Source organism: Homo sapiens, chromosome 4 (genome assembly GCF_000001405.40).
Source record: "Homo sapiens chromosome 4, GRCh38.p14 Primary Assembly".
In the NCBI taxonomy this organism is placed as follows: Eukaryota; Metazoa; Chordata; class Mammalia; order Primates; family Hominidae; genus Homo; species Homo sapiens.
Genome location: NC_000004.12, coordinates 102,265,599 through 102,282,070, shown reverse-complemented (window position 1 = coordinate 102,282,070; position 16,472 = coordinate 102,265,599). Strand labels below are relative to the sequence as shown.

The following is a 16,472-nucleotide window of genomic DNA, read 5'->3' as shown; positions in this document are numbered from 1 at the left end:
GTTCCCTCATTTGTAAAATGGGGATAATATCTATATAGGGCAGTTGTGAAGATTAAACGATGGTATATGTAAAATGCGTAGGACAGTACCAGGAGCATAGTGAGAATGCGGCAGGAGGCTCTGTTATTACTATAAATATTATTATCACTACTGCTCTGTGCTCCAGTGGTGTATTCTGTATATTTCATGCCCGATTCTTCTTTTCTTAAACGGGTCAGCACATCTTTAGAGTGGCACAGTGACAGCTTTCAGAGGGAATGTGGTCCTGGTACCCTTATCTTGTGTGGCTCCTACTTCTCACGCTCCATGTACAGAGTAGAGACAGCCTCTGTTTTTCTGAACTATTGAAATATAAACCAGGGTGCCAGTTGCCCCTTGCAGAGAATAGCTTTATATTTGTCTCTCTGTTGGCACCTTGCCTATTCCTTATCACCCCCACTTGGTCCTAAGTGCCTGTTCTGTCATGGTGGTTGCAGTTACCACTGGCTCTAATCTCTCTTCTCATCTATTTCTTTGCCTCTTACCACTTTCCCTAAGCTCCTTGACCGTGTGTTTCTAGATCTTCTCTGCCACAGAAAGCAGTCTCTCTTTTTTTGCAGGTGAGTCACATGGAGTATATTGAGTGGGATCTTGAATATTTCAGTTCTTGATGTAATTCATGTCAAATGTTAAGACATGACAGGCAGCTGCTGCACGGGGTTGGTTTCTCCACGGCATCCCATCCTACCCCTGTTTTCTCATATGAATTATTCTGAAAGCCTTGAGGCTGATCAGTGTAGATATTCCTATATTTTGGAAACACTACTTTTAAGGATCCTAGCAACTGATTTCTCCAACTTACATTGAAATTTAAACAATTTCCTGGTGCCTCCTGAATCCCTTTAAGATGTTGCAGTAAGAATGAGAGTTGTGTAGGCGGGGAGGTACATTTTATGGGCTTTTTATAAGAAATGATATCCTGTGTCCTGAATGTACCAGTGCATTAATGCCATCCTCATCTGTAGCAACAGTAAGCAGCCTTTTAGAGTGGTATAAATAGTCCATTAGGATAACCATAAATATTTAACTATTATTTACTTTAGATTCCATTGGCAAAGTAGCAGATTTCTTGAAAACCTCTCAGGTTTCTCCTAAATTGTTCTTTTCAAGGCAGTAAAAATGCTATGGTCCCAAACTGAAAATAACTGATTATTAATTAAACTACTAAAGACCAAAACAACTTTACTCACATTCCACAGGATTGGAGAGACAGGAAACAACTTGCGAGGTTTCTAGAAATTGTTATTTTCTTGTTAATGGTTATTTTAATTAGCAAAGAGAGTTTTGGAAATAGTTTTGAGCTTTACCTGAAACTGAATGACTGGAAGGTAAGTGCATTTGAATTATATTTGGTTACATGCATTAAAGGATAAATAATTTCTCTTTTCTCATGTGAAGCTTCATTTTGGTAGTTAGCTGACTTTTCAGGTAAGGAGAAGGACCAAGTAATCACCAGCTATAAAATACAAACATTTATCACTGGAAAACCTAGTAATGAAAGCAAAGCCTATCAAAACTTTATGTTTACAGAATGCGTTTAACTCTTTTTAATATATTCATGTCTATGTAATCCTTTTGTTACTTTTTTCATGAAAACTTATTTAACAGTATATATAGTTCATAGTATTGTGTTGTGGAATGAGCATTAGACTTTGGATATGTCAAATCCTTTCCAGAGAGAGATGGCCTACTCAAATAAGGATAAATAATAAATAGGGGAGAGACACTTTGTAAAACTCTGAGCACAGTGTAGGTGAACCACAGGGCAGTAACCTGAGGCTAGTAACAGTGGAGCTGTCAACAACCTATGACCAAAGGGAAAAGGGAAGAAAAAAGGTTCTCTAGAACTTGAAAGGAGCTAGTTTTGTGTAGAAAGCTACTGTACGTGGAACAGTGATCTTTAGTTGTGGACATAGCCAGCCTAAGTTAACCTTCAAGGAGGGAGCCAAGGGAATAAATATCCCGATCCCCACTCCTCCTTCCCTCCAATTTTGTTAGAGCTCACTGTCTGGAACCTGCTGAGCACCTGGACATGAGGGCCTTTGATAGAGTGCCTGCAGGTCTTATGGGGAAAGAAGAGCGGAAAGCGGATCTGGAGGGAGAAATGAAAGATACCTTGAATACTCTACCACTTTTCTCTCTATCAACCTCCAATCTTGTCCTCCATGTGGTTGACAAATGCATGTTCCTAACACAGGGTATGCACAAAATCCCATCAACTACCATATCATTCCCATGATGTCTTTTACTAATACTGCAACCTGACTAAAATATTGGTCCCCAGCAACACTCTTCATATAAAATATTGGGAGAAGAGGATGCAATTAAGGAACATTAATTATAGCTGCAGCTCACTTCTGGAGCTGGTCATGAGGCCTAAACTGCTCATTATAGGGCCCCCCCATCGACAATACCTTCTGTATTTACCTTACTGTCTGACATCACCTTGACTGGATGAGTCATTTTCCAGTTAGGGCAATTGAAATCTTCATTTCTTTAAGATCTGAGTGCTTGGTAGTCTTGTTTTTATTGGGGGATCGTTGCTATTTTCCCTTGACCAGGACTATCGGGAAGGGAGTACTAAGAGGCATCCCACTGAATTCCCTGAGTTTTAAGCACTGTCCTTGTCTTCATTCTGTAGCAGAAAATCAATTCCCCCTGATCATTAGGTGTGATTACCCTAGCTAGTTATAGTGACTTTCTCATCTCTGTTGGTTCAGGGCCATAAATAAATTTAAATTGCCAGGAGTTAGTCTCTACTTCCAGTGAATCAGAAAATGACCATGTTTCCTGGTATAAGAATTACTGCCTTGGACAGTAGGGCCATCAAACTCATCAAGTCCAAGGTTTCGGGGACAGGAGGCAAGAATTCTTTTTTTTTTTATTATTATACTTAAAGTTTTGGGATACATGTGCAGAACGTGTAGGTTTGTTATATAGGTATACATGTGCCATGGTGATTTGCTGCATCCATCAACCCGTCATCTACATTAGTTATTTCTCCTAATGCTATCCCTCCCCTTGCCCCCCACCCCACTAACAGGCCCCAGTGTGTGATGTTTCCCTCCCTGTGCCCGTAAGTTCTCATTGTTCAACTCTCACTTATGAGTGAGAACATGCGGTGTTTGGTTTTCTGTTCCTGTGTTAATTTGCTGAGAATGAGAATGATGGTTTCCAGCTTGATCCATGTCCCTGCAAAGGACATGAACTCATCCTTTTTTATGTCTGCATAGTATTCCGTGGTGTATACATGCCACATTTTCTTTATCCATTCTATCATTGATGGGCATTTGGGTTGGTTCCAAGTCTTTGCTATTGTAAATAGTGCAGCAGTAAACATACATGTGCATGTGTCTTTATAGTAGAATGATTTATAATCCTTTGGGTATATACCCAGTAATAGGATTGCTGGGTCAAATGGCATTTCTGGTTCTAGATCCTTGAGGAATTGCTACACTGTCTTCCACAATGGTTGAACTAATTTATACTCCCACCAACAGTGTAAAAGTGTTCCTATTTCTCCACAGCCTTGCCAGCATCTGTTGTTTCCTGACATTTTAGTGATCGACATTCTAACTGGCATGAGATGGTATCTTATTGTGGTTTTGATTTGCATTTCGCTAATGATCAGTGGATGATGAGCCTTTTTTCATATGTTTGTTGGCCACATAAATGTCTTCTTTTGAAAAGTGTCTGTTCATATTCTTCACCCACTTTTTGATGGGGCTGTTTGTTTTTTTCTTCTAAATTTGTTTAAGTTCCTTGTAGATTCTGGATATTAGCCCTTTGTCAGATGGATAAGATTGCAAAAATTTTCTCCCATTCTGTAGGTTGCCTGTTCACTCTGATGATAGTTTCTTTTGCTGTGCAGAAGCTCTTTAGTTTAATTAGATCCCATTTGTCAATTTTGGCTTTTGTTGCCATTGCTTTTTGTGTTTTAGTCATGAAGTCTTTGCCCATACCTATGTCTTGAATGGTATTGCCTAGGTTTCCTTCTAGGGTTTCTAGGGTTTTAGGTCTTACATTTAAATCTTCAATCCATCTTGAGTTAATTTTTGTATAAAGTGTAAGGAAGGGGTCCAGTTTCAGTTTTCTGCATATGGCTAGCCAGTTTTCCCAAAACCATTTATTAAATAGGGAATTCTTTCCCCATTGCTTGTTTTTGTCAGGTTTGTTGAAGATCAGATGGCTGTAGATGTGTGGTGTTATTTCTGAGGCCTCTGTTCTATTCTATTGGTCTATATATCTGTTTTGGTACCAGTACTATGCTGTCTTGGTTACTGTAGCCTTGTAGGATAGTTTGAAGTCAGGTAGCGTGATGCCTCCAACTTTGTTCTTTTTGCTTAGGCTTGTCTTGGCTATACAGGCTCTTTTTTGGTTCTATAAGAAATTTAAAGTAGTTTTTTTCTAATTCTTTGAAGAAAGTCAATGGTAGCTTGTTGGAAATAGCATTGAATCTATAAATTTGGACTGTATGGCCATTTTCATGATATTGATTCTTTTTATCCATGAGCATGGAATGTTTTTCATTTGTTTGCGTCCTCTCTTATTTTGTTGAGCAGTGGTTTGTAGTTCTCCTTGAAGAGGTCCTTCACATCCCTTGTAAGTTGTATTCCTAGGTATTTTATTCTCTTGGTAGCAATTGTGAATGAAAGTTTGCTCATGATTTGGCTTTCTGTTTGTCTGTTATTGGTGTATAGGAATGCTTGTGATTTTAGCACATTGATTTTATATCTTGAGACTTTGCTGAAGTTGCTTAGCAGCTTAAGGAGTTTTGGGGCTGAGATGATGGGGTTTTCTAAATATATAATCATGTCATCTGCAAACAGAGATAATTTGACTACCTCTTTTCCTATTTGAATACCCCTTATTTCTTTCTCTTGCCTGATTGCCCTGGCCAGAACTTCCAATACTATGTTGAATAGGAGTGGTGAGAGAGGGCATCCTTGTCTTGTGCTGGTTTTCAAAGGGACTGCTTCCAGCTTTTGCCCATTGACTATGAAGTGGGCTGTGGGTTTGTCATAAATAGTTCTTATTATTGTGAGATATGTTCCATCAATACCTAGTTTATTGAGTGTTTTTAGCTTGAAAGGGTGTTGAATTTTATTGAAGGCCTTTTCTGCATCTATCGAGATAATCATGTGTTTTTTGTCATTGGTTCTGTTTATGTGACGGATTGTGTTTATTGGTTTGCATATGTTGAACCATCCTCGCATCCCAGGGATGAAGCCTACTTGATCATATTGGATAAGCTTTTTAATGTGCTACTGGATTTGGTATACCAGTATTTTATTGAGGATTTTTGCGTCGATGTTCATCAGGGATATTAGGCTGAAATTTTCTTTTTTTGTTTTGTCTCTACCTGGTTTTGGTATCAGGATGATGCTGGCCTCATAAAATGAGCTAGGGAAGAGTCCCTCTTTTTCTATTGTTTGGAATAGTTTCAGAAGGAATGGTACCAGCTTCTCTTTGTACATCTGGTAGAATTCGACTGTGAATCTCTCTAGTCCTGGGCTTTTTTTGGTTGTTAAGACTATTAATTACTGCTTCAATTTCAGGACTTGTTATTGGCCTTTTCAGGGTTTCGACTTCTTCCTGGTTTAGTCTTGGGATGCTGTATGTGTCCAGGAATTTATCCATTTCTTGTAGATTTTCTAGTTTATTTGCGTAGAAGTGTTTACAGTATTCTCTGATGGTAGTTTGTATTCCTGTGGATCAGTGGTGATCTCCCCTTTACCATTTTTTTTATTGTGTCTATTTGATTCTTCTCTCTTTTCTTCTTTATTAGTCTGGCTAGCAGTCTACCTATTTTGCTAATCTTTTCAAAAAACCAGCTCCTGGATTCATTGATTTTTTGAAGGGTTTTTCATGTCTCAATCTCCTTCAGTTCTGCTCTGATCTTAGTTATTTCTTGCCTTCAGCTGGCTTTTGAATTTGTTTGCTCTTGCTTCTCTAGTTCTTTTAATTGTGATATTAGGGTGTCAATTTTAGATCTTTTCCACTTTCTCCTGTGGATATTTAATGCTATAAGTTTCCCTCTAAACACTGCTTTAGCTGTGTCCTGGAGATTCTGGTACGTTGTGTCTTTGTTCTCATTGGTTTCAAAGAACTTATTTCTTTCTGCCTTAATTTCGTTATTTACCCAGTAGTCATTCAGGAGCAGTTTGTTCCGTTTCCATGTAGTTGTGTGGTTTTGAGTGAGTTTCTTAATCCTGAGTTCTAATTTGATTGCACTATGGTCTGAGAGACTGTTTGTTATGATTTCCGTTCTTCTGCATTTGCTGAGGAGTGTTTTACTTCCAATTATGTGGTCTCTTTTAGAATAAGTGCTATGTGGTGCTGAGAAGAATGTATATTCTGTTGATTTGGGGGTGGAGAGTTCTGTAGATATCTATTAGGTCAGCTTGGTCCAGAGCTGAGTTCAAGTCCTGAATATCCTTGTTAATTTTCTGTCTCATTGATTTCTCTAATATTGAAAGTGGGGTGGTAAATTCTCCCACTATTATTGTGTGGGAGTCTAAGTCTCTTTATAGGTCTCTAAGAACTTGCTTTATGAATCTGGGTGCTCCTGTATTGGGTGCATATATATATTTAGTATAGTTAGCTCTTCTTGCTGCATTGATCCCTTTACCATTATGTAATGCCCTTTTTTGTCTTTTTTGATCTTTGTTGGTTTAAAGTCTGTTTTATCAGAGACTAGGATTGCAACCCCTGCTTTTTTGTTTTGTTTTTGTTTTTGTTTTTGTTTTTTTTGCTTTCCATTTGCTTGGTAAATATTCCTCCATCCCTTTATTTTGAGCCTATGTGTGTCTTCTTACATGAGATGGGTCTCCTGAATACAGCACACTGATCGGTCTTGACTCTTTATCCAATTTGCCAGTCTGTGCCTTTTAATTGGGCCATTTAACCCATTTACATATAAGCTTAATATTGTTATGTGTGAATTTGATCCTGTCATTATGATGCTAGCTGTTTATTTTGCCCATTAGTTGATGCAGTTTCTTCATAGTGTCAATGGTCTTTACATTTTGCTTTGTTTTTGCCATGGCTGGTACTGGTTGTTCCTTTCCATATTTACTGCTTCCTTCAGAGCTCTTGTAAGGCAGGCCTGGTGGTGACAAAATCCCTCAGCATTTGATTGTCTGTAAAGGATTTTGTTTCTCCTTCATTTATCAAGCTTAGTTTGGCTGAATATGAAATTCTGGGTTGAAAATTCTTTTATTTAAGAATGTTGAATATTGGCCCATACTCTCTTCTGGCTTGTAGAGTTTCTGTAGAGAGAGCCGCTGTTAGTCTGATGGGCTTCCCTTTTTAGGTAACATGACCTTTCCCTCTGGCTGCACTTAACATTTTTTCCTGCATTCCAACCTTGGTGAATCTGATGATTATGTGTCTTGGAGTTGCTCTTCTCAAGGAGTATCTTAGTGGTGTTCTCTGTATTTCCTGAATTTGAATTTTGGCCTATCTTGCTAGGTTGAGGAAGTTCTCCTGGATAATATCCTGAAGTGTGTTTTCCAACTTGGTTCCATTCTCCCCATCACTTTCAGGTACACCAATCAAACGTAGGTTTGGTCTTTTCACATAGTCCCATATTTCTTGGATTCTTTGCTTGTTCCTCTTCATTGTTTTTTCTCTAATCTTGTCTTCATGCTTTATTTTATTAAGTTGATCTTCAATTTCTGATATACTTTCTTCTGCTTCATAGATTTGGCTACTGATACTTGTGTATGCTTCACGAAGTTCTTGTGCTGTGTTTTTCGACTTTATCAGATCATTTATGTTCTTCTCTAAACTGACTATTCTAGTTAGCAATTCCTCTAACTTTTTTTTCAAGGTTCTTAGGTTCCTTACATTGAGTTAGAACATGCTCTTTTAGCTCAGAGGAGTTTGTTTTTACCCACCTTCTGAAGCCTACTTCTGTCAATTTGTCAAACTTATTCTCCGTCTGATTTTGTTCCCTTGCTGGTGAGGAGTTGTGATCCTTTGGAGGAGAAGAAGCATTCTGGTTTTTGGAATTTTTAGCCTTTTTGTGCTGGTTTTCCCTCATCTTGGTGACTTTATCTACCTTTGGTCTTTGCTGTTGGTGACCTTCAGATGGAGTTTTTGAGTGGCCGTTCTTTTTGTTGATGTTGATGCTATTGCTTTCTGTTTGTTGGTTTTCCTTCTAACAGTCAGACCCCTCTTCTGCAGGTCTTCTGGAGTTTGCTGGGGGTCCACTCCATCCCCTGTTTGCCTGGGTATCACCAGCATTGGCTGTAGAACAGCAAAGATTGCTGTCTGCTCCTTCCTCTGGAAGCTTCGTCCCAGATGGGCACCCATCAGATGCCAGTTGGAGCCCTTCTGTATGAAGTGTCTGTTGAGCCCTGCTGGGAGGTGTCTCCCAGTCAGGAGGCACAGGGGTCAGGGACCCACTTGAGGAGGCAGTCTGTCCCTTAGCAGAGCTCGAGCACTATGCTGGGAGATCTGCTGCTCTTTTCAGAGCTGGCAGGCAGTAACGTTTAAGTCGGCGGAAGCTGCGCCCACAGCTACCCCTTCCCGTGGGTGCACTGACCCAGGGAGATGGGAGTTTTATCTATAAGCTTCTCACTGGGGCGGCTGCCTTTCTGCCAGAGATGCCTTGCCCAGAGAGGAGGAATCTAGAGAGGCAGTCTGGCTACAGTGGCTTTGCCGAGCTGTGGTGGGCTCCGCTCAGTTTGAACTTCCTGGAGGCTTTGTTTACATTATGAAGGGAAAACTGCCTACTCAAGCCTCAGTAATGGCAGATGCCCCTCCCCACACCAAGCTCGAGTGCCCCAGGTTGACTTCAGACTGCTGTGCTGGCAGCGAGAATTTCAAGCCAGTGGGTCTTAGCTTTCCAGGCTCCATGGAGGTGGGACCCGCTGAGCAAGACCACTTGGCTCCCTGGCTTCAGCCCCCTTTCCAGGGGAGTGAATGATTCTGTCTTGCTGGTGTTCCAGGCACCACTGGGGTATGGAAAAAAACTCCTGTAGCTCGCTTGGTGTCTGCCCAAACAACCACCCAGTTTTGTGGTTGAAACCCAGGGCCCTTGAGGTGTAGGCACCCTAGGGAATCTCCTGGTCTGTAGGTTGCAAAGACCTTGGGAAAAGCATAGTATCTGGGCTGGAGAGCACTGTCCCTCATGGCATGGCTCCTCATGGCCTCCTTTGGCTCCAGGAGGGAGGTCCCCGGCTCCTTGCACTTCCTGGGTCCTCACCCTGCTTCTGCTTGCCCTCAGAGGGCTGCACCCACTGTCTAACCATCCTGAATAGATGAACTGGGTACCTCAGTTGGAAATACAGAAATCACCTACCTTCTGCGTTGGTCTGGCTAGGAGCTACAGACCAGAGCTGTTCCTACTTGGCCATCTGGCCTGTCAGTAAGAATTCTTTAAGTGGTGTATTAGGCATAAAAATAAGATAGATTACTTTATTTATCTGTTTATTTATTTAGAGACAAGGTCTAACTCTGTCGCCCAGCTGGAGTGCAGTGGCGCAATCATAGCTCACTGTAACTCTCCTTCAGCCTTTCGAGTAGCTGGGAACATAAGCTCATGACACCATACCTGGGTAATTTTTTCTTTCTTTCTTTTTTTTTTCTGAGATGGAGTCTCACTCTGTCACCCAGGCTCGGCTCACTGCGATCTCGGCTCACTGCAAGCTCTGTCTCCCGGGTTCACACCATCCTCCTGCCTCAGCCTCCTGAGTAGCTGGGACTACAGGCGCCCACCACCACTCCCAGCTAATTTTTTTTATTAGTATTTTTAGTAGAGACGGGGTTTCACCATGTTAGCCAGGATGGTCTCGATCTCCTGACCTCGTGATCTGCTTGTGTCGGCCTCCCAAAGTAATATATTTTTTGTATAGACGAGGTCTAGTTATGTTGTTCAGGTTGGTCTTGAACACCTGGCCTCAAGCAGTCCTCCCCCTTGGCATCCCATAGTGCTGGGATTACTGGCAGGAGCCCCTGAGCCTGACTTATACCCCTTTTACTCTCACCTCTTGGTTCCTGGATTTGTGCATTCTCTACAGCAGAGATGACACCATATACTTGGCTGCCCAACCTATGAACAGAACTCCAACCTCTCAGGGTGTTATCTCTTGGCTTGCACCCTGGCTGAGGCTTCATCAGGACATTTCATCATTCTGTCAAACTGGTTGCTACTAGAGGGTGCAGGTGATGTGATCCATGAATTATATGTATTGAGCCCACTGTCTCACTTCCTTTGCTAAAAAATGGTTAGGAGATAGTTTTCACAGGAAACCTTGGCTATATATCAGTTGCACTATAAGTCCATGAATGATGGTGCTTGCAGAGGCACTGAAGGCAGGGAAGACATATATTGTATATGTCTATCTTTGTGAGTCCAAGAGCATCCCCTTATAATGGGAGGAATCCAGTGGAATCATTCTGCTACCACATACAGCCACCTGGTCCTCTTGCCCTGTTGGACAGTGATAGCTTTTTGGGGGCTCAGCATCAGCCTTGGCTTTTGAAGTTTGGGACTTCTTTAGTGCTGGAAAGCCAGATTCCCCCTGGTAGGAGAAGAGAATGCTGAACCTATATATATCCTCCCTCTGCACCACTCTGTGCTTTATATGTGGGTCCATTAAGCAAACATTTGGATGGTTGATGAAGGATACTGAGTGACAATCAGATTTTCTTGTTCACTTTATTACTGAAGCTATCCTCTGTGATGGCCTTTTATGAGATTTAGTGGAATAGAATTAGATTCACATTCTGTACTTATTAAAAGAGACTCTTCCATATATTCTTCACCTCCTCCTTTGTGTCCTTCTTGTCTGTCCTTATCTTTCTCCTCCTTTTAGTCCTCTTCCTGCTCCTCTTACTCATGCTTGCTCGTTTCCTTCTCCTTGTTCTCCCTGTTTTCCTTTTCCTCCTTCTCCACATGCTCCACCTTGTCCTCCTCCTAATCATCCTTCTCTTCATCCTCTTCCTCATCCTCCTTCTCATCCTCCTTATACTTGTCTTCCTCCTCCTCCTCCTCATGCTACTTCTCCCTTTCCTTGTGCTCCCTATTCCCCCAGGCCTCCTCATCCTCTACAACTTTCTCCTCCTTCCTTAAACTGTTCTGCAATAAGCCCATTTGTTTTCTCCATTTTAATTTCTAAGTACTTTTTTTGAAAAAAATTTTGTTTTTTGCCCTCCAATTTATGTTGGGATTCAACATAGTCTCCCTCTATTTTTTTAACTTTGGTGCATGATATTCTTTCTCCCCCATTCTGATAACACTACACATTGCTTTGACTTCCATCCCCATTAATAACTAAGTGAAAGGTGTTACAAGTCTTGCTGAAGATTACACGGTAATTCTTCTCACAGCCAAGCTTGAACTCAGTTTTAGATTCCAGACTTAGTGTCTTTTCACTAGGCTGAATTGCCTCATCATGGCTGAGGATAGAAATAGCCTCATATTTAGAGTAAAACTCAGACAAGAAAGCAAGCAAGTGAACAACAATAACAATAGAAAACAAAAATTTAAAAAGGAAAGAGAGAGATAGGCATATTCACTAATTTAACTACAGGAACTTGAATTTAGTGTTCTCTCTGCTCAGTGATTTAATTCTAGGTGAATTAAAAAAGAAGTTTCTGTGAAGGTTTGCTGACTTTGGTTTGTTCCAAAACTATTAAAAATGTATAACTCTTACCTGCTCAACAGTATCATTTGGGACCAAAGCATGAGGCATAATAAATAGAGTCAATAATATCTGTACTTAGAGGTATGAGAATCATTCCTGATATATTAATTTAATTTCTTCTGTAAAATTAAGGGTGTTTGTATACAGACTCTGTAGTGATATCAGGTAGTCAAGACTTGGTTTTGTAGTCTTCTTCTGAAGTCATCACAATAAGGAAATTTTAAACATGTAATTAGACAAATTAGATTGGAAGATGAAAACAACTGCTTTAATTCAAAATAATCTCATTAAGTATATCACGGCATTAAGTTTTACAAAGCCCAGGTCACTTCCTCTGTGGCTTTCCCTATGACCACCTTTGTTTCTCCTTCAGCTGTAATTGCTTCCCGCTCTGGGGCATTTTTTATGCAAACTACCCGATCCACCTGTGCTAAATTATGATTGTTTATTGTGTTGTGCGTTTAAGATACAGCTATAAAATAAAAAGCCCACATTTTAAGAAAAGATAGAATTTTTTATGCGGATAAGCTTTGTTTCTTAAAATAAAAAAGATTTGATACTTACTCAATGTTGCATCAAGCGTTCAGAAGAGTTTTCTGAGAGGTGGGGAAGTCTCCTTGCGAATTACCTTCAGATCCTATTACAGAGAAGAATTCCCATCCCCGATATGTGTGTAGTAGTAAAGCACTGTTGCCAAAAATGCCCATTCACTCTTTTTTTGTATCTCTGGGTAAGTTTACCAACCTTTTTGTGCTTTAATTTCCTCAACTATAAAATGATGGTAACAGTTGTACTTTCCTCATAGAATTGTTCCAAATGAATTCGGTATTTGAAGTGCTTAGAACAGTGCCTAGCACATTATAAATGCTATGTGCCTTTGCTGTTACTATTTCTACTACGACCACATTGGTGATGACAATGATGATGAATCCTATTACTAACAGTTTCCCATTCATTTCATATTAATTAAAAAAATATTTGCTCCAAATGCTTTTATCTGTGCCTACAAACAAACAAAAATCCAAAGGTGCAGATTTGCCACTAACGAAATAGTAAAGAGATGTATTGCAGGATCTAAGGCTGATTCTGAAAGTGTTGGTCCCCAAAGTGTTTGGAGTGGTGAAGTGATATTGGAGTAACTGTAAAACCTCTTAGATGGTTGCTCTGAAGTAAGCCCCTCTCTGTTGGATATATATTGCATGTTTTTTTTTTAATGTATCCATATATATTATGACTTGTTTCTCCAATGTAAATACACTTCTTGAAGACAGAAGCTGTGTTTTCCATTTCTGTGTATTTCCTATAGCATTCAACAGAGTGTTTTACAAATTTCAGAAGTTCAATAAATGTAATGATTAGCTGCTTAGGTAGAGGTGAGAGGAGGAGAATTAGGAATAAAATGTTCTCCAGTTAATTGCAAAGTGCTTTTGTACTTAAAAATGAATTTGCATTTTATCTTTTTCTACAACTTCTGGAAAGTGTTTTAGTTGGCATTTGTCATTTGATTTTGTACAATTTTGTAAATTTTCTGGAAATCTAAATTCCTACAAAGAGTCCATCACAGGATTTTCTATTTTTTAATTGTTTCTACATGAAAGGAAGTGTTAGTGTAAAGGCTAGCCTGTTCCATTTACACTTCATGCAATTTGTTAAGAAAATAATTAAGCTTTGGAGCTGGTAGAGACCATATTGTTACAGCCTAAACCCTCCACAGGGTACCTGGAACAGAATGGAAACTCAATAAGTTGTTGATAAATAAATGAATCATTTAGTACAATGTCTTCATTTCACAGTTGAAGGAACTCTGTGATAACTTGCTCCCTGTCACATGGTGGCATAGGAGGGGTTAGAACAAATGTTGCTGATGTCATTCATCATGCTCTAGTTGTGGATTTCACATTTAAATTGTAACATAAAAAAGACTTTAAGTTTAGTCTTTGAATAACTTCCTTCATTTTAAATCTTGTGTATAAATAAATTTCTTAGGTTAATATCTGCTACATTTTAGAAAGGCAGTAGGAAGAAGTTTATACAAGTCAAAAGAATTGTTTTAAAGGGAAAGTAAAGGAAAATATCTGTTAGTGGCTTATTCGAGGTGTGTCAGTTGATGAATTTCCTTTCTCTCAACCATAAGTTTTCTTTGCTCTGTTATATATTATTAGGGTTTCCTAGTTACTCTAAAAGACTTTCTGTTGGAACAATTTGTTTTTCTCAAGCACAACCCATCTCCAACTTGTCTGTATTTCTGAGACTTTCAAGAAATGTTGGTTATCATTTTAATTGATTTTCTGCTAGGATGGAAAAAAAGAGCCAAGTTCATGTACCTGTTTGAAGGGGCCCAAACTGTCAGAAATAGGGACGATTGCCTGGATGATAACGCTCTGCGATGCCCTCCACAATTTCATCGATGGCCTGGCGATTGGGGCTTCCTGCACCTTGTCTCTCCTTCAGGGACTCAGTACTTCCATAGCAATCCTATGTGAGGAGTTTCCCCACGAGTTAGGTAAGGAGCTCTGTTCATATTGTAAAAGTCTGCTTACTTCTTGATTTCAGTGGAATGAGACTTTTCAGGTGACATGCTCTTAAAATCCTTCTGATGCACTAAAATGAAGACCTTGTTGGACATTGATGATTATCTTTGATATCATCCAGAAATAAAAAAAAAACTATTCACTTGATATTTTCTTCTTCTTCTTCTAGGAGACTTTGTGATCCTACTCAATGCAGGGATGAGCACTCGACAAGCCTTGCTATTCAACTTCCTTTCTGCATGTTCCTGCTATGTTGGGCTAGCTTTTGGCATTTTGGTGGGCAACAATTTCGCTCCAAATATTATATTTGCACTTGCTGGAGGCATGTTCCTCTATATTTCTCTGGCAGATATGGTAAGAAGCTTAAAATTTGTATTTTCTTTTAATTTAAAATTTGGAAATGAGTATCTGGATTATAAGTTAACTAAGGGTGGCCTTCTGCTTTCCGCAGTGTGGAAGGCCTTTCTGTTGTAATTCAGAACAATCCCATTTCAACAGATCATTCTACTTGAGTAGTTTACACTAATAGTAATTTGAAACTGATCCTCACTGGTTCTTTAAAACATAATCGTATTGTTTGAAGGTGAAATGATTTGTTTTTGCTGAAATAGAGATATTTTCCTCTATCTCTATTCCCCTTGTGGTTGGTACATCTTGTCTTATGTTATAGTATGTCCCTATAGGACTTTTTCTCCTTTTTCTCCCTCTTTTGTGTCTATGCCACATTTGGAAGAGGAATAACTTATTAGAGTAAATAGCATTTTGTTATTTCAAAGTTCTAAACAGTGACAGCTTTTTGGGTTAAACTAAAACTGGTACACTAAAATTGGTAAAATTTTGACAATAGTTATTTGACATAGTATATATTTATATCTGTTCAATGTCTGTGTCTTTGTATCTGTGTGTATGTGTGTGTTTGTGCTCAAAAGAGCGTGCATGGCCGGGTGCGGTGGCTCATGCCTGTAATCCCAGCACTTTGGGAGGCCGAGGCGGGCGGATCACAAGGTCAAGAGATCTAGACCATCCTGGCCAACATGGTGAAACCCTGTCTCTACTGAAACTACAAAAATTAGCCGGGCGTGGTGGCGGGCGCCTGTAATCCCAGCTACTCGGGAGTCTGAGGCAGGAGAATTGCTTGAACCCGGGAGGCAGAGGTTGCTGTGAGCCGAGATTGTGCCACTGTACTCCAGCCTGACGACAGAACGAGACTCCATCTAAAAAAAAAAGAGTGTGCATGTGTGTGTGTAAGAGAGAGAATATCCTGTGCATTTTAAAATAAATCATGGAAATCTTTCTATAAAATGATAATATGGTAGTGTATGAAAATCAAGGACTATTTCTTTTGCATTTGGAACTGGATGTATTACATACATAATTTAATAATTTGAGTTTTTTATTTGCATTCTTACCTCCAAATTATATTTGTCTAGCTCTGTTCGTTGTTCTCTGCAGACCCTCAGAAGAGCAAGGATTTCATCTCTTAGAACCAATGCTACATTTATAACTTTTGTCACAAAATTAATGTCTCATGCTATCTTATAGTCATTTTACTTTCTGATATAAGAATGGAATCTTACTAGAGTTGTTCAGTTTAAAGAAATAATACTAAGAAATAATACTCATCCTGGAGTGAGCAAAATAGGCACAGTTCAAGGGGCTTTTCCATTCATGGGGCTTTTCCTCTAGAAAGAGGGGATCCTTAAATTAAACAACAAAAAATCACACAGATGACTAAATAATTACAAATAATAAAAAATGCTATGAAATAAGAGAGAAAGTAGAATATATGATGAGAGATGATAATAAAGGAATCTAGAATAAACTAGGATTAGCTAGCAAAAGTGTTTTAGCAAGATATAAGGTAAAACGTGAAGGATTTAGTCCACTGAAAAATTAGAGAAATACAAGTTCTGGTACAGGTGATGGTAGATGTGAAGATTTTGCTGGGTAAACTTGAGGTCATGAAAGAATGGGTTGGGTGAAGCATAGAGAGCAGGTAATGGAAAAGGAGAAAGAGAACATAAAATGAGGTAAATTCCATCCCACTGATTGATTCAGTTGGAGAAAAATACTACTTCAGTACTTTTACTCTTGTTGATGCCTGAAAGAACTAGATATTCCTATTAAGCTATCAGTACTAAAACCTTTAAACATCCAAAGTAAATGATCATACCACCCCTCCCAGCATTCTATTACAGGAGCACCTTGTTTTATTGCACATTGCTTTGATGCACTTTGTAAATGC

At 39.4% G+C, this 16,472-nt stretch overlaps 1 protein-coding gene across 8 annotated transcripts in view, besides 1 other annotated feature; it reads left to right on the top strand.

The window, feature by feature from the left end:
* SLC39A8 (solute carrier family 39 member 8) overlaps positions 1-16,472 on the top strand; it is a 94,442-nt gene that overhangs the window by 63,412 nt on the left and 14,558 nt on the right. For all 8 annotated transcript variants that reach the window (NM_001135147.1, XM_024454184.2, XM_047416070.1 and 5 more), the window contains 2 exons: positions 13,992-14,199; positions 14,397-14,581. In NM_001135147.1, coding sequence (NP_001128619.1) covers positions 13,992-14,199; positions 14,397-14,581 — 393 coding nt within the window. The remainder of the gene's footprint in view (positions 1-13,991; positions 14,200-14,396; positions 14,582-16,472) is intronic.
* Positions 13,442-14,641: an enhancer, noted in NCBI's record as "MED14-independent group 3 enhancer chr4:103188587-103189786 (GRCh37/hg19 assembly coordinates)". NCBI's record gives its function as "activates an origin of replication core promoter dependent on BRD2, BRD4, P300/CBP and CDK7 cofactors, and independent of MED14, by STARR-seq in HCT116 cells {active_cell/tissue: HCT116}" and the evidence as "EXISTENCE:reporter gene assay evidence [ECO:0000049][PMID:35650434]".